This window comes from Homo sapiens, chromosome 12 (assembly GCF_000001405.40).
Source record: "Homo sapiens chromosome 12, GRCh38.p14 Primary Assembly".
In the NCBI taxonomy this organism is placed as follows: Eukaryota; Metazoa; Chordata; class Mammalia; order Primates; family Hominidae; genus Homo; species Homo sapiens.
The window spans coordinates 71,136,071-71,162,236 of NC_000012.12; the positions used below are offsets into that span (position 1 = coordinate 71,136,071).

The 26,166-nt window shown below is 37.3% G+C and overlaps 1 protein-coding gene across 2 annotated transcripts in view; it reads right to left on the reverse strand.

The window, feature by feature from the left end:
* TSPAN8 (tetraspanin 8) overlaps positions 1-21,929 on the reverse strand; it is a 32,904-nt gene extending 10,975 nt beyond the window's left edge. The window contains exons 1-6 of one of the 2 annotated variants that reach the window (NM_004616.3): positions 21,860-21,929; positions 21,549-21,717; positions 8,081-8,143; positions 3,641-3,778; positions 2,086-2,160; positions 1,883-1,990 (exon numbers count right to left, since the gene is read on the reverse strand). In NM_004616.3, the coding sequence (NP_004607.1) occupies positions 1,883-1,990; positions 2,086-2,160; positions 3,641-3,778; positions 8,081-8,143; positions 21,549-21,608 (444 nt within the window). In that variant the 5' untranslated portion in view covers positions 21,609-21,717; positions 21,860-21,929. Of the gene's footprint in view, positions 1-1,882; positions 1,991-2,085; positions 2,161-3,640; positions 3,779-8,080; positions 8,144-21,548; positions 21,740-21,859 lie in introns of those variants that run through there. The other variant, NM_001369760.1, reaches the window with a different exon arrangement.

Below are 26,166 nucleotides of genomic sequence, written 5' to 3' on the forward strand. Positions count from 1 at the left end.
AACTAGTGAATGCTCTGAGGGAGAAAAAAAAAAGTCACCTGATAAAAAGTTTGAGAAACCAAGGATGTTTCCACTTGAAAAGCAAGGATTTTAGGAGTCGAACAATAGCCATTCTCAAAGAAAAATCTATCATATATAAAAGCATCAATAATTTTTTTTCCTCTGAAACTCTGGAAAAACTAGTACTAAATAATGTAAATCCTAGGGAGGCAGATTTTGTTTCAAATTAAGAAATAACATACTAATCATCAGACTTGCATATAAGCAGGATGGGCAAAAATTAGTAAACTTTCACCTCTTTAATATTTCATTTGAGGGTAGATGACCATAAATATAAAATATGTTTATCAGTGAGAAGTCAGATTAAGTGACCTATAAAATTCAAGCCTCTCCTAAGATTCTGTGAATTTCCATGACATGCATATATTCAGAAGGAAAAAGTAGTAAGAGCACTCCAAGGATGGAAACTGATGCAAAGGCAGGAAGGCAGTTGTTCAAGGGACCCTGAGTACACAAACCTGGCTGGACTAGAGTTTACTCTTTAGAGAGTAGTACTTAGTAAAGTTAAAATATTAGGTAGGATCCAGAGAGTAGAAGACCTTCAATGCCTACCCATATTTTGACTTTAAAGAAAAAAGGAGGGGATAGTATACTGATTTAAAAAATAACAGACTGGTCAGACAGATCTGGGTTCAAATTCCAACCCATCACTTGGTAGCTGTTAGACCTCCCTAAAACCCAATATCCTTATCTGTAAAATAGGGTTAATGAGGATAATGATATTACCCATCCACAGGGTTGTTGTGGGTATTAAATGAGCTACTGGATATAACACCTGCTACATAGTAGCAATTAATGTTAGCTATTACCATTTTTATGAGACAGAGAAGTGGTGGAGGCTGAGAAAGAAAAAAAGAGAGGTGGATGTGGTTGCTCACGCTTGCAATCCCAGCAATTTGGGAGGCCAAGGCAGGAGGATCACTTGAGGTCAGGAATTTGAGACCAGTCTAGGCAACATAGTAAGACCCCTCTCTCTACAAAAATGATAATTTTTTAAAAGGTAGCCAGGCATGGTGGTGTGTGCTTGTGGTCCTAACTACTCAGGAACCTGAGGTGGGAAGATCTCTTGAGCCCTGGTGGTCAAAATTGCAGTGAGCTATGATTATACTACTGCACTCCAGGCTGAGTGACACAGCAAGACCTTGTCCTCAAAATAATTAATTATTTTTTAAAAAGAAGAGAGAGAGGCCATGTGCGGTGGCTCACCTCTGTAATCCCAGCACTTTGGGAGGCTAAGGCGGGTGGATCACCTGAGGTCAGGAGTTCAAGACCAACCTTACCAACATGGTGAGACTCTGTCTCTACTAAAAATACAAAAAATGAGCCGGGCGTGGTGGCGCATGTCTGTAGTCTCAGCTACTCAGGAGGCTGAGACAGGAGAATCAGTTGAACCCGGGAGGCAGAGGTTGCAGCGAGCCAAGATTGCACCACTGCACTCCAGCCTGGGTGACAGAGCAAGACTCTGTCCCCCCCCAAAAAAAAGGGGGAGAGAGAGAGAAAGAGAGGAGATTCCCAGACACACTACCCTTTTAAATGGTAAATGGAAAATATTAAAACTATTATTGATTTGACTCATTCGAGGCTTAACCTGTCATAAATGTATCTTCTTAATTTCTCTCCTTCAAAACTGCTTCAGAACTTTGTATGAAGCGAGAAAGTAATTACAAATATCTTAGATTTTTCTTATTGCATGGTGACAGAATAATCAATCAAAATCTGCAAAATGGAGACATTTTTCAATCTTTAAGGAAGATGTTAAAAACTAAACAAACACAGAAGAACTATGTCCAACTCTTTAAAATGAACAATGAATTCTAATTACCTCTTCTTGAAACACAATTATGGCTTCCTGGAATTGTTTTTCACTTTCCCCTGTGGCGCTCAAAAGCTTTGTGTTTTCATAGAGAGTTTCATTCACAATGCGATCAGACTGAAAATTGAAAAGTATTTTACATTATTCACGCCACAAGGTAGTATTTCAATTTTTCAAACTTCTTCAAAATTTTCAAACATCTGTGCACACACCTTAGATTTGAAAACAGCTCCTAGGATACCTGTCGCCACCTGCAGGAGCAGGATCAGAAGCAAGCCTATGAAAAACTGAAGAAGAGAAAAAGAAATATACATTATCCTCAGTGCATTCAGTAACATCTGGGGACATTCTGGCACAGCACTTCTCTCTACAGCTGGGATTATATCACAGTGAGAGTGTCAGTCACACTCTTCATTTATTCCACTTTTTACTTCAAGCTGAAAATTTTGGGTTCATTACTACTCAGAAAATTGCTCCAGAGACTGATCGAGGAAAGTGGTTCAGGCAAAAAAATTATCAAAACAACCATTGATATCTGTATGATATTGACTAGAGGGAAGTTTGAAAACTTAGATGAGTTTATTTGAGTATTATTTTACTCCTTCCCTTTCTTCATCAAACACAACCTCACACAAACTCAGAATTGGCTTTGAAACAGCATCTCCACTACATTCAGAATCACCTGGCATCTTGTTACATATATAGATTCCTGAAATCGGCTTCAGATATGCTGAATCATAAGTTTGAAGGATGCAGCCCAAAGACAATTAGCTTTTTTTTTAAACAAGCTCCTTGAGTAATTAAATTCTTCAATTGCAAATGAGGCCTTATTGTTCAAAAAGCAATCAGTAGGAATGTTATTAGAGTCCCTTTAAAACTCTGTCTCTACCGTCCCTCACAATAAACAAACAGTTTTGAACATTTTTCTCAGGTACTGATATAATCCTTACTTTATTAGAGGAATAAGTTTAGATTAGACCTGATAAACTTTTATGTCATATTTGTATCTGATAAACACTTGATTTTTTTCTAATATTTTTACTATATCCATTTTCTACTGTATATGTTAAAAGTGAATGCCTGTGAATTATCCAAACCCAATTTATCCTCCTCAATGCTCTCTAAGAGATAATTCTGATTATCTCATTCATTTAAACTTTTTTTTTAGCATGGCATGTAGAACACCTATGATTTTACCACAACCCACACTTGGATTCATCTTCCATCATTTACTGGAAACAGTTTTGCCGGTCTCCTGCCATACCCAAGGCTTCTCAGTTCCCAAACACACCAGCACTGTACTGCCACGTTGTCTTTCCGGAAAGCTTTTCCTACCCTCACTCATACAAATACCTTATTCACTTCTGCCCTGGTTTGAAAATCCCATCCCCTGTCTTGCCCTTTGCTTCTGGGGCCACTCCCACTGTAGCTATTTGCTTACTTATTAACCTTCCCTAGTAGGTTCTAAAGGTCTTATGTATTATTTCGCACAATATCTGACACATAGAGGTATGGCAGTAATGTTGAATGAGTGAATGAATGAATGGATGAATGATTAAAATTTGTCTCCTCTCAGAGTATCCTCCAGTTTCTAAGCCAAACTAAGCCAAATCTAAGCCATATCAGCTTCCACAATCAAACCTTCTAAAGAGAAGTTGGAGTTAGAGTTTCATCAATCATGGCACGTTCTTTTAACAGACAATAGGGATGGGAGAGAATCCTCTGGAGTCTGAAGGTTGGACACTGGGATTTGTTTGGAGAACTCACCAACAGAAGCATGCAGCGACTTTCTTTTATAGCACCGCAGCATCCCAGGAAGCCCAGAATCATGATGATGGCACCTACAGCAATCAATATGTCCACAGCAACGTAGGAGCTAGAGCCTACATCTTCAGAACCAAAAATCTGAAGTAAAAAAGAGATTAATGGCAGAAAATTTATTTCCTTGAAGTTTATTTTGCTCATTCAACAAATATCCATTGAGTGCCTCCTATGTGTCAAGTCCTGTGCCAGGACCCTGAAATACATCAGTGATCTTAAAAAGTACAAATCCTTGCCCTCATGGAGCTCACATTCTATTGAAGTGCTTATATTTTTCTAAAATGATATGATGAAAGCTGGGTGGAAGAAATGTAATAGGTTTTTTTAAACCGTATTTTTAAAAGCTTAGGACAGTTACTTTTACTCTTCTTGATGTAATCTTTGGTTCACATATTTTGTGTATTCTATATAAAGTGCATTATAAAAGCATGTGTTGTTATGGTTTTTAATTCTTTAAAAAGTTCAAGCTCTTTAAACTATTGATAGACACAACAATATGAATTAATTTCAGAGTCATTATGCTGAGCTAAAGAAGCCATAGAAAAAAGTAAATACTGTATGATTCCATTTCTATAAAGTTCAATCATAAGCAAAACTATGGTTATAAAAATCAAAGCAGTGCTTGACTTTGAGCAAGGCAGAAGGGAAAGCAAGAGTTAACTGAAAAGGGACATGAGGGAACTTCCATGGGTTAATAAAAATGCTTTGTATCCTCATTAAAAAGAAATCCAGTTCCTGATATTTCATATCTATTTTATCTCTTTGTTCCCAAAAGCCATAGTCCATAGAGTCATCTAGAAACTCTATTTTGACTGTTAGTTAATGAGATATGAAGGGAAAAAAAATCCTAGAGCCCTTTATAGTGGGTGGGCTACCCATCAGGCATAATTCAGTTCTCCCAACAACACACACATACTCGTCTTCATCACCCTCATAACACTTAGCCTCAGCCACCTCTTGTCCTCGATAAGTGGATTTATCCAGAAGTAAATCACAATTAAAAAGTAAAGCCTTGTGCGTGTCTTATGCATAAATCCTATATGTAGCCCATTTGCCTTCTATAACCTCTATCTACTGGGCTGTCTCTAGATAGAGCACTAGTTCCTAGACTAACTCGAAACCTCTGCCTCCCAGAATGGGCTATATAGCATGTAGGTCAGCTCCCTTAACAGTCAATACAAAAATGACTGCTATGTTCTAATGATATTTTTGTTTCTCAAGGCTTTTTAAATCTACTTATTGCCTAGAGGAAACTTTTATTCAACAGTCAATAGGAAGGAATGTGCTGAAGTTATAAAAGCATTAAAACAAACATCTATATTTTGTCAGGGTCCTAATAAATAAGTTTGTAATCCTGGAACAGTCACCCAACCTAGTGGGCTCCAGTTTCCCCATTTATAAAAGGGAATTGGGTCAACCTCTGTGATAGCCAAGGCCTCCTTTGTCTCTAAAAGTCTATGCTTACAGATAATGTTTCAATTTACGTATTTTGAAAGCTTGGTTAAGTCCTAAAGATTTTTGTTTGTTGGTTTTTATTGTTTTCTCATTAATATTAGAGCTAAAAAATCAGTTTTGTTAATAAACAGGCAGGACATTGGAATCAAAATAAATGTGACAAAAATAGAAGTGTTAGGAAACTAGCTCTATGGACTTCCTGCTAAATATTGCTTCACTAGAATATTGTGGCCAGTACAGGCAAACCCTATGAGAGGATGGAAGCCTCGCTAGCTGGGTTATCAGAACTTAGAAAAGATATGCCAGACATACAAATAATAGTTCAAATATCTACACATGAGGCCAAGATAGTGTGACCAGCACTTGTGCAGCAGGTAGTGAGACACTTCTATGAGGCTAACCTGGGCAGGGTGACCCACTGCCAGAGACTAGCCAGAAAGCAGTGTGTTGACTGTCTAGTGGTCATTGTTCCAAGTCCAGCCCAACAAGTGGTTATTCTTATTCAAGAATGAAGTGGAAATCTGAGTTCAGATGTTTGCACCAGGGGAGGAACAGCAGGGTTTGAAAAGCTGTCTTGAATGAACACTGTGTCCCTGTGTGTCTTAGGACAAGGGGAGAATTTCTAAAGACAGAGAAATTCAGCTGGTCCTGAAAGATGAGGACTCAGGAATCCTCTTTGGATCAGAAGGGACCTCCTGGGACAAGGATGGCTGCTCATGTGCTTTTCCTCATGGTGCTAAGTTTATCCTGAGGTAGAAAAAAGGGTCTTCATGAGACACTTCAGCAGAAAGTTCTGTCATTTCCCTGACATCCTTCTTTTCTGTGTTTATGCTCATGTTTTTCCTTCCAAAACAGCTACCTCTGTTTTTTCACTAACAAAAAATTCAGCTCTTTGCTCTGTCTTGATTCTTTGTCACTGGCTTGAGAAAAATATAAACCAAGCCAATTTTATATAAGTCAAGCTGGTTAATGTTGTCCTGGCAGACACTGGCTTTTGTTCAGTGTGAGAGGCTGATGAAGCGTGAGTCAAAACGTAACTAAAGATGCTGTCTAGCTCTATTAATTCATTCTTATCCCCAGATGTGGAGGAGCACCCTCTCAAGGACAACAGTTCCCCTTTAATACATTCAATATGTGCAATTTTTTAACAGACTAAACACCAAATTTGTTTACCAGAAGCACTGGGAGGGAAAGAAAATACCAACAGGAAGTAAAATTAAAATAAAATAAATTGCAGGCTACACACACATCTTGAAGAGGCCACAGCACCCTGTAAGTAGGTGACTGTTAATCTCTGTGCTTAATTATGAGTCCCAAAGTCAGACTTCAGATTCTACAGGATGGTAATTCTGCACATCTTCAAATGCACTTCTTGGGCTCACACACCAGAGCTCCAGGCCATCAGGAAGTCACAGTTATGGTTATCAGTAGAAAACAATAAGTGAAATCCTGATGGACTAGGATGTTACTAAAAAGCTGCCACACCCATCTCCCACCCAATTTCTTCACCATGGTGAGGCACAGAATGTGGAAGCCGCTAATTGCCACTGTGATCCTCTGGGCTCCCTAAGGGCAGAAAGCAATTTTAAAAGGAAAAGAACAACAGGAGAGAGAGAGAGGAAAAAAACAAAAAAAAAAAAAACAGAGATAGAGTGAGAAAGAAATTTTCAGAAAAGCCACCCACTGCAGCGAAGAAAACAGAGCAGACATTAATTCCCTTTTCATCTTCCTTTCCACTAGGCTGTGTTCAAAGGCATTTAGCTGCACCATGGTGAAATACGTTTTAGTAGAAAATGCATTGTCTTAATTGCTGGCTTAATAAATCTCTCAGTAATTATCAACTTGGAATCAAAATTCTTCTCAGAGAGGAGAAACTCTCTTTATGTGGGCAAATACCTTAAAAAGGCTCTAGCAGTAGAAGAGGTGATCCTTTAGTGGCAAGAGCCCAGAAAACAAAGAACAAATTAATGGCTCTGAATGTGTTAGAATAATAATTTGTGGGGATGGAGCCCCAGAATAGAAGAAGGGAGAGAAAAGAATAAAAGCACGGGAGCCAGGAAATGGTGCCAGGGTGGTATTATGTTCCGTAAAACTGACAGAACAATCCCCGCACACTCGCCCCTCCCTCTTCCCCCAACCCTTTCCACATTTGTGATACTGTGGCATGGAACAGATACCACACGTATGGGGTCCAATAGCTGGAGCCAGAATTAACCATACGAAATACACTTCCTCCAGACCTGTAGATCTGGGTAAGAGCTTTGGCACTGGGCACGGAATGGTGTGTGGGGGAGGAAAATGGGTCATGTTCATCTTATACATATAGCAATAATCTGGACATCCCCAGAGAATTACTGAGTTTCACCAAGTTAGATTAGCCACTACTGGCAAGTGGTTACCTTCACTGCCAGTTGCCACAGGTAAATAACAAGTACCCTTGTACCTTGTTGCCTTTAAAATACAGATTCAAATTATTCTTCTCCAAGAAAACTTCTCATTTTCTTTCCTTTTGGACCAACCACATTGGGATCAACTAAATTATTGTCAAAACCTTCTACTATAAAAATTATTCTTCTTGGTGAGAAGGAGAGGTGGCCTATATCCTCAATATAGGCCTTAAACAAATAGTAAAGGAGGAAAATTTCCACTTTGGCCCCTTCCCACCTGCATCTCACTGAATTTTTTTGAATTTTTGAATAACACCTCCTCCATTCTCTAGAAAGATTTTTCCACATCTAGCACAGTGCCAGCCACATAGTAATTTTAATTGATTGAACTGAATTATAAAATCACATAACAGCACAAGTGATTACATGAAGCAGTTAAGAAAAATGTTTTAGACATGTTTATTACTATTATTGTTATAACTTTCATTATTATAAATGAAATAAACTACATTGGGGAAAGGGTGACTTGTTTTTGCATACTTACTGCTTGAGAGTCATTGCTTACTCGTACCCATATTGCTAATGCTAGGATCAAGATACCACATAGCTGCAGAAAAAAACAAACAAACAAAAAGAATACAATTAGGATCATATGAAACTCTATTTCCACACCCTCCTATCTATCCGGTGACAGTAGTTCATCATCGACTATACTATCACAACCTGGAAGACATAAATGAGGCATATTCATATACAGATCATTGTTGAAATGTTAAATTGCAATGTGTAAGTTTGATGAGAATAATTCTATTTCTCATCCACAACTCACTCACAGCTCTATGGACAAGAAGTTATTTCCATTAGGCCTGGAAAGATTATTTTTCCATGTAACTCTAGCCCTGTGTTTCTGCTAGATTTTAGCATACAAAAGAAAAGTCACAACAGTTTAAAGATAAAATATCCTTATCATGCCTCTGGGCTTGTTTGTGAGAAGCTATGTTGGACCAGGAAAAAAGGGAATGACGGAATAGTCACCATTCATTTAAGATTCGACAGGAAGGGAGATGTTGGGATAGAGGGGGAAAAAGTAAAACATACGACAAGATGTGCAGTTAAGCAACAAGGCTATATAATAATCAACACTTTTTGAACCCAAATAAACTCTCTTAAAAACAAGCTCTTTTAGGTGGTAAAGTTTACTCACAGAGAAGGAACAATGAAAGACAGAACTTGAAGTCTTAAATTCCTTTAATGATTTTACCAGATTATTTAATTTGGACCAATGCCAACACAATAAAATGTAAAACACATTTTACTTTAGTGTAAGGAAAACTCTTGTCATTCAGGGTTTAAAAAAAAAAGTTATGCATTGTGGCTTCAAAAACAAAAATCAAAGATCTATTATTAGATAGAGATGTTAAGAGCTGTGTCTGGTAACATACCAGACACAGCAGGCCTTGGGGGACTTAGTAGACAATTCTGACCTTGCTGTGCTCTGACAGACAAATGTCCTTGGAGCATCATTGCTTTCGTGCATGGTTGAGACATACGCCTAGAACCCCAAGACAGCACTTTTAATGGCTTCTCATTGAGTTTGCAGGGGAAATAGAGTCAAGGGCTCTGTTAAGGAATAGGAAGCACAATGAGTAGTTGAGTAACCATAGACTCTGTGCTCCCTAAAAGACCTTGAAAATCATCTAGGTCTAAACCTCTCATTTTGAATGGAGAAATTGGAATCCTGGGCGCTAATTATTACATCATGAAAACCCGGAGCAATTCCTAACCAATCTGCCCTTACAACATACTTCAGCTCCTACAAAATAACTAATGCAATTAAAAACCAAAGCTCTTTAACCACCAAATAACCTATGCAATTATCTCATACACACACATAGACACACACACACCATAAAATACAAATGATTAAAAAACACAGCTTTCGTGTTTGAAAACTTTCCTTACTTCTCTAACCCTGAGATTTATAGCATCCTTTCACAAAATTCTAATTTCATTTGCAAACAAAGACAAATGCTCATTTTAGCAGTCCTTTGTTAAACAGTTTGTGAGTGATAATTTATGTCAAATGATAATGAGACCCTCTGGGATTTTCAGTAATTTCATACCAACTGAATTTTTTGTTTGTTGTTTAGTTTGTTCACTGATTATCTTCTTTCGTTTTCTTCTCTTTTCACAAGCAGATTCATAATGATTGGCTTAATAGTCATTCTGGCCTTCATCTGTAACTAATGAACCTTGTAGCTATTATGAGTAGCATTCTTTCCTGATATTTGTTAAACTATCAACGAAAAAACTTTAAGAATTCTTAGTAAGAGCTTAGTAAGAACTCAGTGTGATATTTTTTAAAACTTTTTTTGTTCGTGTATCACTATTCACTTTTTCAAGGTATTTAGATATCAGATCATTCATAAATCTTATTAAATCAATCATATCTGCCCCTCAGATAGCAACTTTTAGTCTTCTCAGCCACTGAAAATTTTCTGTAACATTAACATTTAAAAGAAAGAGTAACCAGTTGTTTCAGAAGTCAAAAATATTTTGCCCAACTAATCTTCAGAATTAGACAATCTTTCTCAGGAACTTTGAAGTTGGCCAAAGTATCATTTCCACCCCTAACTCTTATCTTTTCTTCAAACTTCATTTTAAAAATGAAACAAATGTTTAGAGTATATCATTCTCATTTGAGTGGAGAAATTCCCATGTAAATATCAGTCTAATATCATGAAATTATTCGTAACTTTGTTGAATGACTTTGAAAGTCAATTTATTTTCTATCAAGAATGACCATCCTAGAGTCATGAATAATACTAAACTATTTCATCCCATTGTTAAAAGATTGACCATCATAATGGTACTTGGAGCCCTTTACCAAGTTTAGCTTTTAGAGCTTTTCCCCTAATGTTTTTATACTATTTTAAACAATTAAAAGTATAAATTAATAAATAAATGCCTGCTCTCTACTTTCGTTAATAACATTGTAAAAGTAAAATGGGTTAGTATGGTGGTTCCAGGACCCTGTGGAACTGACTAGGCCTACCTTTCCCCTGCTTCTGGTCTCTCTTTGAGAATTGTTCTGGTTTTCATTCAGCTTTCATGGAACAGCCATCATTTTATGGAATTTGGATGCAATTGGTCTGGACCAGCATCCTAAGAAATTAGGCAATTTTGATATTTGCTTATAATGGACTGAATTGTGTCTCCACAAAATTCATATGTTGAAGCCCTAACCTCCAATGTATCTGTTTTTGATGATAGGCTTTTAGAAGATAATTAAGATTAAATGAGGTCATGAAGATGGGGTTATAATCTGATAGAACTGGTGACCTTATAGGAGATAAATCTTTCTTTCTCTACTCATACCCAGGGAAAGGACATGTGAGAACATGAGAAGATGGCCACAGAAAGAGGGTCCTCACCGGAAACTCAGTTGGCTGGCACCTTAATCTTAGCCTTCCTAGCCTCCAGAACTATAAGAAAATTAATTTCTGTTGTTTAAGCCACCCAGTCTACAGTATCTTGTTATGAGAGCCCAAGCAGATGACTAAGAACAGGCAGATGCTGAAGACCATAAAATATCAGGAAAAAAAAGGGGGCGGGGGAAGATACCATCCAGAAGAAAGATAAATGGTAGAATGTTGATTTGTCCTTTTCTTTGATAATGTGTCTCCAATCATCCCTACTTCTTCCCTCCAAATTGTACCCTTTTATTTGGTGTTTATTGAAGTATGTTTGGAGAATGCTGAAAATGCTGTGTTAGGAGGAGGAGTGGATTTTGAACTACATCATTATTGGTCCCAAAATGGACACCTTTTAGGTAAGCTTAAGAAACTCTTCTTGTGCTGCTCCTGAGAGGATAAAAAAGAATAAGAAAATATGCAAGTGGATAACTACAAGATTTGTTTTTATGATAAACACAGAACACTAGAGGCGACTCCATGATTATAGGGAACAAGGATTCCGAAAGCCCTAACATACTAGGACTGTACTGCTGCTGCTACTGTTATTGTTCATTTTCAAGTTTCTTTTACTAAACATTTATTTAAAAGTCTTAGTTCAATTGTATTGTGGTAAGAGAATGCAGACTGTAGGATTGTTACTTGTGAGTTTTTTTGCATTTCCTTCATCAATTTCTAAAGATTCAGAGATACTAGAAAAGACAACAAAGTCTCAAGAGGGTACAAAGTTTATTAGAAATTTAGTAAATATACTTTATTCATTAAATCATTTAGATCCCCTGTATCCATGTTTTTTCTTTTCCTTCCTGAGTTATCAAAAACTGAGAGGCAGGTTAAGTTGTGTTAAGCTGAATTAATGGAGTTTGCATTTACTATTCTGTATCTCTAACAGTGTTCCCTCCATATAATCCAATAAATGCTATTTAGTGTAATCAGTCTTGGGCTTTAGCGCAGAGTAAATGTTACTAAATTGCTATTTTCTATTACATCTCTTTCCAAATATCCTTCCAATCTACATTTGAGATAATAAAAAATATAACTATTTAGACATGTGACTTCTTTATTTCCAGACCTAAAATGGTTAGCCATTTAACCATGATTTTCCCATGCTTCAATTATCCATTTTTACTTATACCTTAATCATTTTGGATATGTTTCAGTAAATTTTACAGTGTGAATACCTGAAGATCTCTTTCTCTCTTATTCATTTGTGAAAGGCTCTGAATACTCAGCAGACATTGTTTCATTGTCTTCTGACTTTCAGGGTTACAATAGGAGAAGAATATCACCAGCCTTATTTTCGTTCATGCATTATTTGCTTGTTTTCTTTTTTGTCAGTTGTATCTAGACATTTGTAAGATGTTTATTTATCTTTTAACTAAGTTAGTAGTTTTCTTAACATTTATTTAGGCATAGATGTCTTCTTTCACTGGGGTAGATCAGGCACTTGCCATCTGCATACAGGTATGTTTTCAGCTCCACAAAATTTCCATATATTAATTTGATTATTATTTGTGTTCCATTTATTTTGTCCTCTTTTTCAGGAGTACAGCTTATTTTGGGTTTCCATTCTCTGTTGTCTGTATCTATTATCTTCTTTCACAATATTCTGATTTCTTATTTGATTTTCCTGTGGGAAAGCTTATCAGTTTGGGATTCTATGTCACTGTCTTTATTTAATGTGATCTCTACAGTGAAGTTTAATTCTGCTATTATGTTTGTAGTTTACTTGCAGTCCTTACATATTTTATCCATTTCCCTTTTTATCTCATCCCGTTGTTTTCCAATAAATTTTATTTTCTCTTATGGCCTCCATTCACTGTTTCATGAGAGGTTACTTTCTAGCATCACATTGTGGATACCAATTTCTACATACATTTTTTCAGGATTCTAGAATATTTATTTCAGGGATGTGTGCTTGTCCTCTAAGTCTTCAGGGTGGCAATATCTTTCACTTGTTCAACAGTATTTTTTATTAGGTCTTATGCTAAATTTCCTTGAAAAAGATGAGACCAATTCTGATTTAGAGTTCATTCAGAGTAGAATGTGCTGAGGCAGGTGGATCACCTAAGGTCAGGAGTTCAAGACCAGTTTGGCCAACATGGTGAAACCTTGTCTCTACTAAAAATACCAAAAAAATTAGCCGAGTGTGGTGGCACGTGCCTGTAATCCCAGCTACTCAGGAGGCTGAGGCAGGAGAATTGCTTGAACCCGGCAGGTGGAGGTTGCAGTGAGCTAAGATCACGCCATTGCACTCCAGCCTGGGCAACAAGAGCAAAACTCTTGTCTCAAAAAAAAAAAAAAAAAGAGTAGAATGTGCATTCCCTTTACAAGCATGGCCTGATGTAGTTCTGATCTACTAAGCCTCATGCGATATTGGATTTTCTGATGCTGTAAACCAGCAGAGTAAATTAAAATCTTCAACTTTTAGCAGACTCTGCAATCATGGTTTTTAAAAAATCTTCAGCCCCATATTGTTGCAGGAAGTCAGGGACCCCAAACAGAGGGACTGGCTGGAGCCGCGGCAGCGGAACATAAATTGTGAAGATTTCATGGACATTTATCACTTCCTAAATAATACTCTTATAATTTCTTACACCTGTCTTACTTTAATCTCTTAATCCTGTTATCTTCGTAAGCTGAGGATGTACGTCACCTCAGGACCCTGTGATAATTGTGTTAACTGTATAAATTGATTGTAAAACATGTGCGTTTGAACAATATGAAATCAGTGCACCTTGCAAAAGAACAAAATAACAGTGATTTTAGGGAACAAGGGAAGACAACCATAAGGTCTGACTGCCTGTGGGGTCGAGCAAAAAGAGCCATATTTTTCTTCTTGCAGAGAGCCTATAAACGGACATGCAAGTAGGGAAGATATTGCTAAATTCTTTTCCTAGAAAGGAATATTGATATTAATACTATGGGGAAAGAATTGCATTCCTGCAGGGAGGTCTATAAACAGCTTCTCCGGGAGTGTCTGTCTTATGTGGTTGAGATAAGGACTGAAATACGCCCTGGTCTCCTGCAGTACCCTCAGGCTTACTAGGATTGGGAAACTCCACCCTGGTAAATTTGGGGTCAGACCGGTTCTCTGCTTTCAAACCCTGTTTTCTGTTGTTTAAGATGTTTATCAAGACAACACATGCACCGCTGAACACAGACCCTTATCAGTAATTCTGCTTTTGCCCTTTGCCTTATGATCTTTGCTTTTGCCCTTTGCCTTGTGATCTTTTTTGGACCCTTATCAGGAGTTTCTGATTTCGTCCTTGTCCTGTTTCCTCAGAAGCATGTGATCTTTGTTCTCCTTTTTGCCCTTTGAAGTATGTGATCTTGTGACCTACTCCCTGTTCTTGTACCCCTTCCCCTTTTGAAATCCTTAATAAAACTTGCTGGCTTTATGGCTCAGGTGGGCATCACGGTCCTACTGATATGTAATGTCACCCCCGGCAGCCCAGCTGTAAAATTCTTCTCTTTGTACTGTTTCTCTTTATTTCTCAGCCAGCTGACACTTATGGAAAATAGAACCTACGTTGAAATACTGGGGGCACGTTCCCCCAATACTATATTAATGGTGTTTATTGTATTGAGTGTTGACATGGTTTAGCTGTGTCCTCACCCAAATTTCATCTTGAATTGTATCTCCCATGGGACCCAGTGGGAGATAACTGAATCATGCGGGTGGTTCCCCCATACTGTTCTTGTGGTAGTGAATAATTCTCATGAGATCTGATGGTTTTATAAGGAGAAACCCCTTTCACTTGGCTCCCACTCTCTCTTGCCTGCCACCATGTAAGATGGGACTTTCATCTTCCACCATGATTGTGAGGCCTCCCCAGCCACATAGAACTGTGAGTCTATTAAACCTCTTTTTATTTATAAATTACCAGTCTCAGGTATGTCTTTATCAGCAGTGTGAAAACAGACTGATACAAGTGTTAAGTGTACACTCAATGTGTCTCCATGATTGCATTCACGTGCATCTTATTTTTTTTTTTTTTTGAGATGGAGTCTCACTCTATCACCCAGGCTGGAGTGCAGTGGCGCGATCTTGGCTCACTACAAGCTCCGCCTCCCGGGTTCATGCCATTCTCCTGCCTCAGCCTCCTGAGTAGCTAGGACTACAGGTGTCAGCCACCACGCCCAGCTAATTTTTTGTATTTTTAGTAGAGATGGGGTTTCACCGTGTTAGCCGGGATGGTCTCGATCTCCTGACCTTGTGATCCACCCACCTTGGCCTCCCAAAGTGCTGGGATTACAGGCATGAGCCACCGCGCCTGGTCTCATGTGCATCTTCTAACAAGCACTCAATATAACTGCTGCAAATTCTAATTTTTAAATAACTCTAAATTTAGGGAAAATAAATCAACCACATTGTTTTCCTTACACAAATAGGGCCTCAGTAACCACTAAAAGCCTACATTCAAAACATGTAGAGAGAGATGAATGTTTGGCATTTAATCTGTATCCTGATGTTTCTGAATCAAAAAATGACACAAATTCAGTAATATTCTTACCATATTGTTTCAAAAGTATAACGTTCATATAAGTAACAGTTGTAGACCTGTGCATCCATTTGAAAAGCCTGGGAAAAATACAAATGACAGCCCACAAGCCACAGGGCATTATATCAGGAAGTTATAACTCAAGGTAATATGCACAGACAACATGTATCCTATATTCCTACCTTGACAAATGTGCCCACTTAATCACCTGGAGGAAAAGGTTTGATTTAGAATTCTCAGGGCATTTGAGCAGGGAAATTTGGGTCCTATATTCAAAGTGGAAGCCAGCCTTGGGGCTGACATATCCCTCTACTCCTGCATATGCCTCACCCTGTGAGATGAGAAGAGGATCAGAGTAGGGCTAAAATTATATTTACCATTTGAAAGCCCATTATGTATAAAATACTGTCACAGTATATTCTAATAGTTGTAAATGAAAAAGCAATTACGATGTTTGGAATCAGGAAAAACATGTTAATTGTGCTATTATTGATGGTCAGTCCTTGGTTACAGGTTTTCATAAAATAGCTTAGTTAATGTTTCAAATTAATCCTGCCAGGTAAAGTGATCATTTTTATTTTACAAATCCAAAGACTGGAGCATGCAAAAGCCAAGGGACATGTTCCAGAACAAGAAGGGGTAGATTCAGGATTGAAATCTCAGTCAGTCTGTTTACAAAATCCACTTTTTCCCCATTCCCTTAATTCATGATAGAAGAATTTCTGCCTTATCATATTCTTGCTATCTTATTTCCTCTTCGTTTTAAAACTCAACATTTAAATTTATTCATCACTATGCCAAATAGTTACATATTTCTGCTTCATAAAAACACCTATAAAATACTGGTTGAAATGTCTTTTTCTTAAACATTTATCTAGTTAATTCCTACTTCTTTATATATATTAACTTATTTAATCATCACCACAAACCCATGAGGTAGATACTACTACTATCCCCATTTTTACAGATGAGGACAAATAAAGCACAGAGAGGTTAACCAATTTCCCCAAAGAAGCACAGCTACTGATGAAGGAGCTGATGTTTATCCTGCTCTATCAACCAGTGGACTCTAATGCCTTTTGGTGCTGTTTTAGCTCCATGCTAATTACATAGGGTCAGGCAACCACTGTATTTACAAAATTCATACACTTCAGCCATTGTTAGGTCTTCATTTTGAAAGATTCCATCAACGGACACAATAAGATATAATTGTGTCCTATTCCTTTTAGTGTACCACCATCTCAGGGTTATGTCTGCTTTGCCTCCAATCTTTTAATTGCTCTCAGCACATCCAATCTCAATAAAATACAATGATGAATATCGAAATGCTGGATCCTGGACTCTCTCCAAGTTCAGACTTCTTTCTGCGCTCTTCAAACCTCGTCATGCACTGGCTTCCTTCAGTTACTAATACATTCAGCTTTACAATTTGGCTCCTCCCTATGACTCATTTGGGATTGATAGTGTACCTCATTCTTCTTTCCCTCATTAAGAACTGGCCTCTCTATAGCTCTCTGTCTCTGGTCATTATTCTACTGCATCCACGAGCCAAAGGCCCCATGTTTCATACTTACTCAGACCCCTAAAGCACCATAAGCATCTACGATATTCCTAGGCTTGAACTATCTGAGAGGAGCATTAAAAAATTGGGGCATTTCATCTATTTTTGAAACAAGACTAGGGAAATAGGTTTCGTACCTATAATTTATCTATTATCTGCAGCACCTCCAGTTCTCTAACTTGCATCAAACTCTAGCATGAGTGATCAGGAATAACTTTCACTTTTACATGTTTTTCTTCAATTAGTGATTCTAACAAATGGAAATCACCATATACTTATGGGGCATATCTCAAGTTGTCCCCCAAAAGAACCTGGTCTGTTTAGATTAAATGACCACATGCATATCTAAGAGATATTTTAACATCGGCTCTACTTTGCAAAGGCTCAGTTTTGCAAGTTATACCAGAAAGAATGCATTTGAAAACATAAGGCCCTGGGCATCTATAAGAAAACCACATCAGTGGGGTCATTAAAATTTTTACTTAAGTAAACATTAGGAATGTGACAAATTGCTAATTTCCTATGAAGGATTGTAAAATTCCAACTGAGAGCTCAGAGCTGAGCATAGACGGGAGAGTAGATATAGGAACCTTTCCTAACCTCAGAGATTCCTCCTGCTGCCTATATTTGAATTTAAAATATTGATGTCACCTCTTGGCTAAGAAGTTATCACTGGTTTTTATAATTGTTGCTCTCACTGAAAGACTCCATTTCAAAATCTCTTATGTAGAGATTGTAAATCCGACCACATATGCTGGTGGTAGGAATCACCAAGGCACGTTAGTTAGAAAGATCTAACTGAAAACTACAGCATCAGAAAGACTTGTCTCTGTTATCAAAGAAACAAACAGATAATGTAACCATAAAATAATCAGAGCTCTGGCCAGGCGCGGTGCCTCATCCCTGTAATCCCAGCACTTTAGGAGGCAGAAGTAGATGGATCACCTGAGGTCAGGAGTTTGAGACCAGCCTGGCCAACATGGCAAAACCCTGTCTCCACTAAAAATACAAAAAGTTAGCTGGGCATGGTGGTGCGTGCCTGTAATCCCAGCTACTCGGGAGGCTGAGGCAGGAGAATCGCTAGAACCTGGGAAGCAGAGGCTGCAGTGACCCGAGATCATGCCGCTGTATTCCAGCCTGGGCAACAGAGCGAGACTCTGTCTCAAAATAATAATAATAATAATAATAATAATAATAATAATAATAATAATCAGAGCTCGCCAGGAAAGCAATGATAATATCTGGGTGTGGCATGGTACAGACCTCTACAATCTACCCTGAACCCTATCAAGGTAGGTAGGTAAATAATCCTGAATCTATAACCTACCCCTTCCTAGACTATTATTTTGATAATTTAGATCTATTCCAAATTTCTGATTAGCTGTTTAATGAAACACTGACCTCTGATGTCTTCATAATAGCTATTAGCACTTTCCAGGATGTTTTAATACAACAAAGATATATTTTAACTGTTTCATTATTTGAAGATTGCTACTGGTTTCAGTGCTTTGGAACATCTTTAATAAAATAGGAGCCTTGCATTTATTAGCATATTAATATTTTGGTTTGTTTAAATGTGCCATATATATTCTGTATTACATAAGGAAAACAATGACTATAGCTCTTTAAAGACAGATATCAGAACTTGGTGGAGAAATGGCTGATTCGAGGTCTGGACAGGAAATAAGCAAGTGATCTGGAACATGTCAAACCAAATACTAAAGAGGCTATCAAAGTTATTAGGATCATTTCAAAAGAACTTGAGTCACCTTGAAGAAGCTCCTGATGGCCAGAGATGGAACAAATTGCACATTAATAAGGGTAAACATTGTAATGGAGCTGATCTATTGTTTCATAAGGATACTTAAAGAAATACTAACTTATCACTGTTGGATAATATTAGTAACTTAACTCATCACTTGCAATCTGGTAAGTAAAGAGTGAGAAAGAAGTATTTTATGCCACTTAAAAAATATTAAAAATGGGATACCCAGGTAATTAAACAGTAAATGAGAAGTTTCTCCTTATAGAAAGTGTTCCAGCTAATAAAGAAAGAAAAGTTGATGAAACTAGAATATCATCACTTTGAACCACTTAATGAACTAATGATGGATTTTGGCACTTGACCATCAATGGCTACGAACGTCACAAAAGAGGGACACAATCAAACCTCCAGTGCCTCCTCATGAAAGAATACAAAATCACTTATGATTGTCGTGTGAAAAAAAAAGGACCTTGAATTGTATCAGGCTGCACCACAGGTATGCAAACAGCAAAATCCAGACTGTGGGCAATGTGATAAAACAAACAACACACACCAGTGCATAAAATTTCAGTAGGGAGAAAAAGAGATGTTGACTGAGGGAGAATCAACAGATTAAAATAGACATGAAACATATATTAACCAACCACACAGTGTGGACCTTATTTAGATCCTGATTCTAACAGGAACATTTATGAGGTAATCGGAAATTTCAGCCCTGAATGGGCTCAAATTTGACAGTTTGATTAAAATTGTCAAATCAATTTGACAATTGATTTAAAAAATTCTTATTAAATTTTTAAAGTGTAATAATGATATTGTGGTAACATTTTTTTTTTTCTGAGATGGAATCTCACTCTGTCGCCCAGGCTGGAGTGCAGTGGTGCGAGCTCGGCTCACTGCAACCTCCCCCTGCCAGGTTCAAGCAATTCTCCTGCCTCAGCCTCCCAAGTAGCTGGGACTACAGGGGCGTGCCACCATGCCCGGCTAATTTTTCATATTTTTAGTAGAGGCAGGGTTTCACCATGCTGGCCAGGCTGGTCTCAAACTCCTGACCTTGTGATCCACCCATCTCGGTCTCCCAAAGTGCTGGGATTACAGGCGTGAGCCACTGCGCCTGGTTGTGGTTACATTTTTTCAAGAATTATTATGTTTCAGAGATATATACTAAAATGCTTACAGACAAAATTATATATCTGAGATGTGCTTCAAAATAATATGGGGTGGGGGAAGTGAATACAGTAAAAATGGAGAAAGATTGGCCATCTTTCTGTGGCCACCTGGGCTGGCCAATGGAGTTGATTACCTATCCTATCTTCTTTAGTGAATATTCAAAGTTCTCCAAAAAAAAAAAAAAAAAACAAACAAAAAAAAAACTAGAAACAAAACAAAACCAAAGAATACAGGTCTTTCTTTTTTTGTATAACCTGCTCCCAATGTTTAATCAATTTAAGTATCTCAAGGGAAGAAATGTATCAGAACTAACTAAAAAACTGGCATATATGTAGCATGAGCTACATTAAATATTTGCAAAAGCAGCCCATTTTTTTAACCTAAAAACAGCAGCCCATTTTTTTTGCCTTCTTTATTTTACTTTTTTAAATATTTACTTACTTATTTAAAAGTCACCAATATATCCATTTGTACTCATTAGCACTACTGATCATTGAATGGAAAATCAGTCTATACAATAAAGCTGTATTCATGTAGTTAAGTTTAATTAAGTTCATCATTATTTTAATAGAACAGAAATATAGCAACACATAGGTATGAGATGTCTGTTTACTAAAGATCAGGTACAAAAACAAAACCAGAGTTCTTTCATCCTTGGAGTGGATAAGGTAGCTTTTAATCCAGTATACAAAATACTTTTTTCATTTAAATACTTTGTGCTATTTCCACTGATTGACATTTAAACAATCTTTAATTGTACCATATATGCTAAAAATGATAAGGTCAATGTCCCAACATCCCAGCCTGCTCTTTTCATACCTTGTTTTTCCATTATCTATTGATAGATATCAGTTATCAATTTGTTGGTTATGTCTATGTCAATGGACTTTCAAGAGAAACATAACAAATTGCTAAAATACAAATCCTGTCAATTAAAAGGTAGGGTGATGACACATCAAAATACTGACTTTAAAATGCCAATACATATATATATCCACGGTCTTAGTTTGATTTTCTTATGATTTAGGAATTTTATCATTTCCCCCTCAAGTTTTTCATGACCCATTTTTTTTGTCTTTGAGGCTCTGAAAATGATCTTTATTGTCCCACACCCTGCGATTCACCTGTTCAAACCCAGAAGTGAAGGGCGGGAATCAGGACCCGGGCTCCGGATGGAATCAGACCATGTTTTTACCACAGAGTCCTTAAATTAGGGAGGCCTGCTTGATATACAACTAAGGAAAATTGTCCTTTAATTAAGGGGCATTTGTGTTCCTCTGTGATTTTTTTTTGCAGCAATATGAAAACATTTATGAAATGTTTATCCTCACATTCTGAAGTGCACTTTTTTGAGTCCTTGGCTCATTTTCAATTACTGAAATAACCAAAGAAAGAACAAACAAATCCAAACAAGTACATGGAAAATACATTTTCCCCCTTCTCTTATTTCTCTAGTGTACAGTCTGTTCTTGTTTATGATATTTATATCAAGATCCCCTTTCTTGCATAAAATTGATAATTAAAAGGAAAACACTTACCCAGAACAAGAAGTTGAAGGTAAACATAGAATATTTTATACAGGCACTCACACCTGCCATTTCGGAAAAGGATTAGGAATCCAGATGCCGTGAATTTAACTATTCGTTACAGGCTTGTCCTGCAATATGCTCTGGAGCAACTTGCCTGCAGAGATTTCTGTATCCACGGCTTCAGAGCAGAAAGAGAAAGCAAAGAAGTAGAGGGAGGAATAAAAAGTTATTAAACTGGATAAAAAAATTAACCCACACATTTAAATATCGCAAAGGCTATTAACCCACACATTTAAATATCTCAAAGGCTATTAACTCACACATTTAAATATCGCAAAGGCTATCTCCAGGCAAGTATGTTCCTTTGCTTGTCATAGCTCCTGGGGCACTGGGCCAGGATATTTATGATCCTTTCTCAAAAACTGCCTCCTCTAAAGTAAACAGATATCAAGTGAAGGGAATGGCACTGGATCAGGCAAGAGAATGGCACAGTGCTACTAAGTTCTTGGCTTTCAGAAACCACTGCCTGACTTCCCCGCCCTCCATTTCAACTATGGGGAAATAAGGTTGTTTTGTTCTGAGTTAAATGGACATTGTATCTCTACTCATTTTTGCATTGCATTTTCTCAATACTACAAAATTCCTTCTAAATGCAATAAAATGCATTTAGAAATCTGCAAAATATCAAAGCTTAGACATAGCAACCTGTTATCATTAAACCTAGAATAGTAAAATAACCATTACATGTATCTGCCCTCCAAAACATCTAAATTTATTTCAAAAGAATTCCAGAGCTGCCGTAAATACACCACAGAAATTGCAGAGGGAGAGGCAGCCTTGCCTATCATGATAAGACCATTTGCTTTTTATCTTTATTTCTTTATGATACAAAGGGAAAGAAATCATAAAGTGGCACTGACTGCAACATTGTTTTCATTTTATAATGCGTAGTCATTCTGATAGCTTGGTTTGTTTTTAAGGTGGACACTGTAATTTCCTTCCTCTGATAAATTGTATCTAGCAACAGCTGTTCTCCACCAACTCAGTTTCTGGATTCCAGGTCCTCCCGGACAAAAAAATTCAAAATGGGAAGGTGGTCATGGATCAGTGACCATAGATTTTACTATTTGTTTCTAGTGCTAATAGAAGGCAGCTGTCTCAGGTAAAGGCAAAATGCTCCGACATCATCAGGGAGGTGTGGACTGCTTTGTGTAAACAGCCTGGGTCATGTTAGTTTCCACATCCTGCCTCTCAAAGGGAGTTCTTCTCCCCCTAAATAAAAGAACCCTCTACTTTAAAAGGTTGTTGAGAAAATTATTCTTTAGAATCTTTGCTAAGTTTTACACGATAAGCAAGCATGAACTCCTTACAAAAGAAAAATATTATTTCTAATTTTCACTGGCATACAATGTTTTTGAAACAATTCTACTCCCTGACTACAAATACAATATATTTTAATGCATTATCAACAATAATATATAGCGTTAAAGGCCAAATTTAGGATTAATTCCAAAAATAATGGCTTAATATATAAATCATCACTAAAATTGTTTGTGTTCTCTTTCCTACTAGAAAATGGATAGTTTCACAACCTTCTATTGAGATATTTTGTATATAGAATAATCCAAGGCTGAAAGAATAATTTCAGATTGAATGAAAACCAAAATTGATTCATAGTCCCAGAAATGATTATTTATCAGAGGCTAAAATTAAAAAAAAATTACAGATTTAAATGCTGCTTTGTTGAAAAGAATGTATTGAATACTACCAAATTTTAGTTTGAAATAGATATTTTGGTGGATGCTGAACATCCTTAAAAAGAATACTGTGTAGTCTTTAGTTGAATCACTCTTGAACTCTGTAACACAAAAATCAATGGATGTGTTTGTACAGGAGAATGACTGTGTAATAGAACCCCTAGTCTAATTCAAAACCTATATGAAACAGTTCACTCCTGGAAATTCCTATTCCTATTAATGTTATAATCACACAACACTCTCCCAGGCTGAATTTGTACAGATATTTTGTATTTCTCTTTCTTTCCATCCAATCACTCTTACTGGTCTGTGTAGCTCCTAAATTACTGTCAAAACTATTTCTTCCATCTCATCCTTTTGCATTTCATTATTCAGTCCTTTATCATTTCTTACTTGAGCTGTGTCAATAGAATGAGAATTAATTTCCCTGGCAGTTTCTCCCAGTTCCTCTCTGCCTTAGCACTTTAAAATTCTTTTTGAGAAATACTTATTGATTAGGTAATGATAATGATGAAAACCCAATCTAAGGATATTTTCCTTTTACCTACAAGATAAAGTTCAGATTCCTTAAAGTAGCATTTACAGCACACAGCAAACAAGTCCTCCACCCACTTTCCAGAATTTTGTCCCTCCCCTTTCTTCCTAGGCAGCCTCCACTTCTAGGCTCCATAACCACAGAATTATTTCCCAGGCCTAGAACACACCTTTGGATTTTATGCCTTGTTCCTTCTGCCTGGAATATCCTTTCCCACCTTCTCTATTGCAACATCCCTGTGGAGCCTTCCCTTCCTCATCCTCTGCCCCCACTCTGGGCAGATTTACTTGCTTCTCAGTCCTCAAGTCCATTATTATTTGAACAGACCTTAAATCTACAATTGCCACTATATCACATTTATTTGTGTCTCTCCCCCACATTTGATTCTATATGCCTGAAAAGCAGAAATCTTACCCTATTCACCTCTGTACCTACAGTAGCTGGCATTAGAGCTACAGAGATTTGCAATGGCAGCCAAGCTCCTCAGAAAGTTCAACTAGTGATTTCCTCATTAGGTTCTCTAGGGAACTACCAATATGCTACCTCTGCCTTTAAAAAATCTATTAGGTCAAGAAAAACAGTTTATTAATTTCAGGACTTGTCAGAGCCTTCAACTTTCTAATATTCAAGGAGGTGATATATAGCAATTCTGAAATGAATATAATCTCAGAACATATTTTTGAATGACATATTCAGGACTGGTGTTACAGAACACACATACGCACTTACAGAAGCACTGTTCTAGACAAACTCTCACTCTTACACCTGAGAAAAGAGCAGCATAGGCAGATTGAGTAGCCCAAGTTCACAAAACTGGTTAGATCTCCTTCTAGAAACAAGGTCACAGGATTATCAGATCAGTATTCTGTCTACTGGCGTCAACAATCTCTTGAGTTCTGTAGTATGAGAATGAGTCATTTACTCATTACTCATTTAACGTGTCTTAGATATTGAGAAATTTTCATATAACAGATATTTTAACAGTGGTGGGAGGTTGCAGGGGTTGGAGATTGTCAGTAATAAATCTTAGACCCTGTGAAAGACCGGGCCAGTAAGGAAAGAAATGGAGAGTGAAATATTATAAGAAGAAATGACAATCGAGGGAAAGAACAGAGGGAAAGTCTAAGTAAATTTAGATAAAGTTTTTCTAATGTTGCCATCATGCCAATTACTATTCATTGCAGCAAATGCACAGAGTAAGGCAGGATAATGATTCCAATTTGATTAATTGTGAAAAGTCTCCATGAGGCAGTCATCAGTGAACTAGATTTTGATAGCAGTATGGGAACCCATGCAGGGGAAAGAAAGAGAGAGAGAGATTCCTTATGCTCAGGGCAGAGGAAAGTGCATGAGTAGTACCATCAAATACCCCACAGAAAATATGGCATTTTCTCTAAGTCATCAGGCAAACCAGGCCTACGTTTGGGACTTGGACCAGAAATTAAGCATAGATAGTTCATATTTTCATCATGATATCATCTTCTCCTCCATAAGATAATATTCAAAAATTTATTCAACTGATGTATTGAATCCTTACCATATTCCAGGAATGAGACTAAGTGCTGGAAACATAGTAATTTATGAAACAAGATAAAAATCCCTGCCTTCCTAGGCCTTACACCATGGTGAAAAGGTAACTTCTTTGCCTTTTTGTTTCCAACATCTCGTTACCCGATATATTTGTCCATGGAATAGACAGTAAAAAAGCAATTCATGTGTGGTAGAGAAAAGATTATTTTTTTCTCTTGTCTTTTATACTCTCCCATTATCACTGTCCCTCTATACTATTTGTTTTTCATGACGTTGTTAATAATCAATTCATGTTCTCAAAGGCTAACAGCAGCAATAAAAACATAATGTTGAGATTTCTCTTCCTTATGACTGTACTGAGGGGTGTGTATGTAAGGACATGAGATCATACACTCTGAACAATTTGAGTGAAGAGATTCTGGTGCTTTTAGCATGTCTCATTTTGAAAAACCTTTTTTATTTTTGGAAAGTTGGAGTTCTCACTTAGGGGTTTTATGGTCTCTTTTACAGGAGCAGAGCCTTGGCTCTTGTGTTCTAGTCCCATTCTAGCCTTCCTGAGACCAATATTCTTCTTCTGCTTTCATGTGATCCCAATGCTCTGTTTCCTACCCTCTGTGCTTATGGAGCCTGGCTCATAAAAACCTTTCATGTATTCCCACTGGAAATGCACCAGATAGGAAGCATCCGGTATGGGAAAGATGCCTCTCCTCTCTTTGCAGGACATTTTAAAGCAACTGTCTCTACTTGAGAGTATTAATTCCAGCTCAGAACTAAAGTAGGGGTTAGAATTGTCATTGTGAAGTAG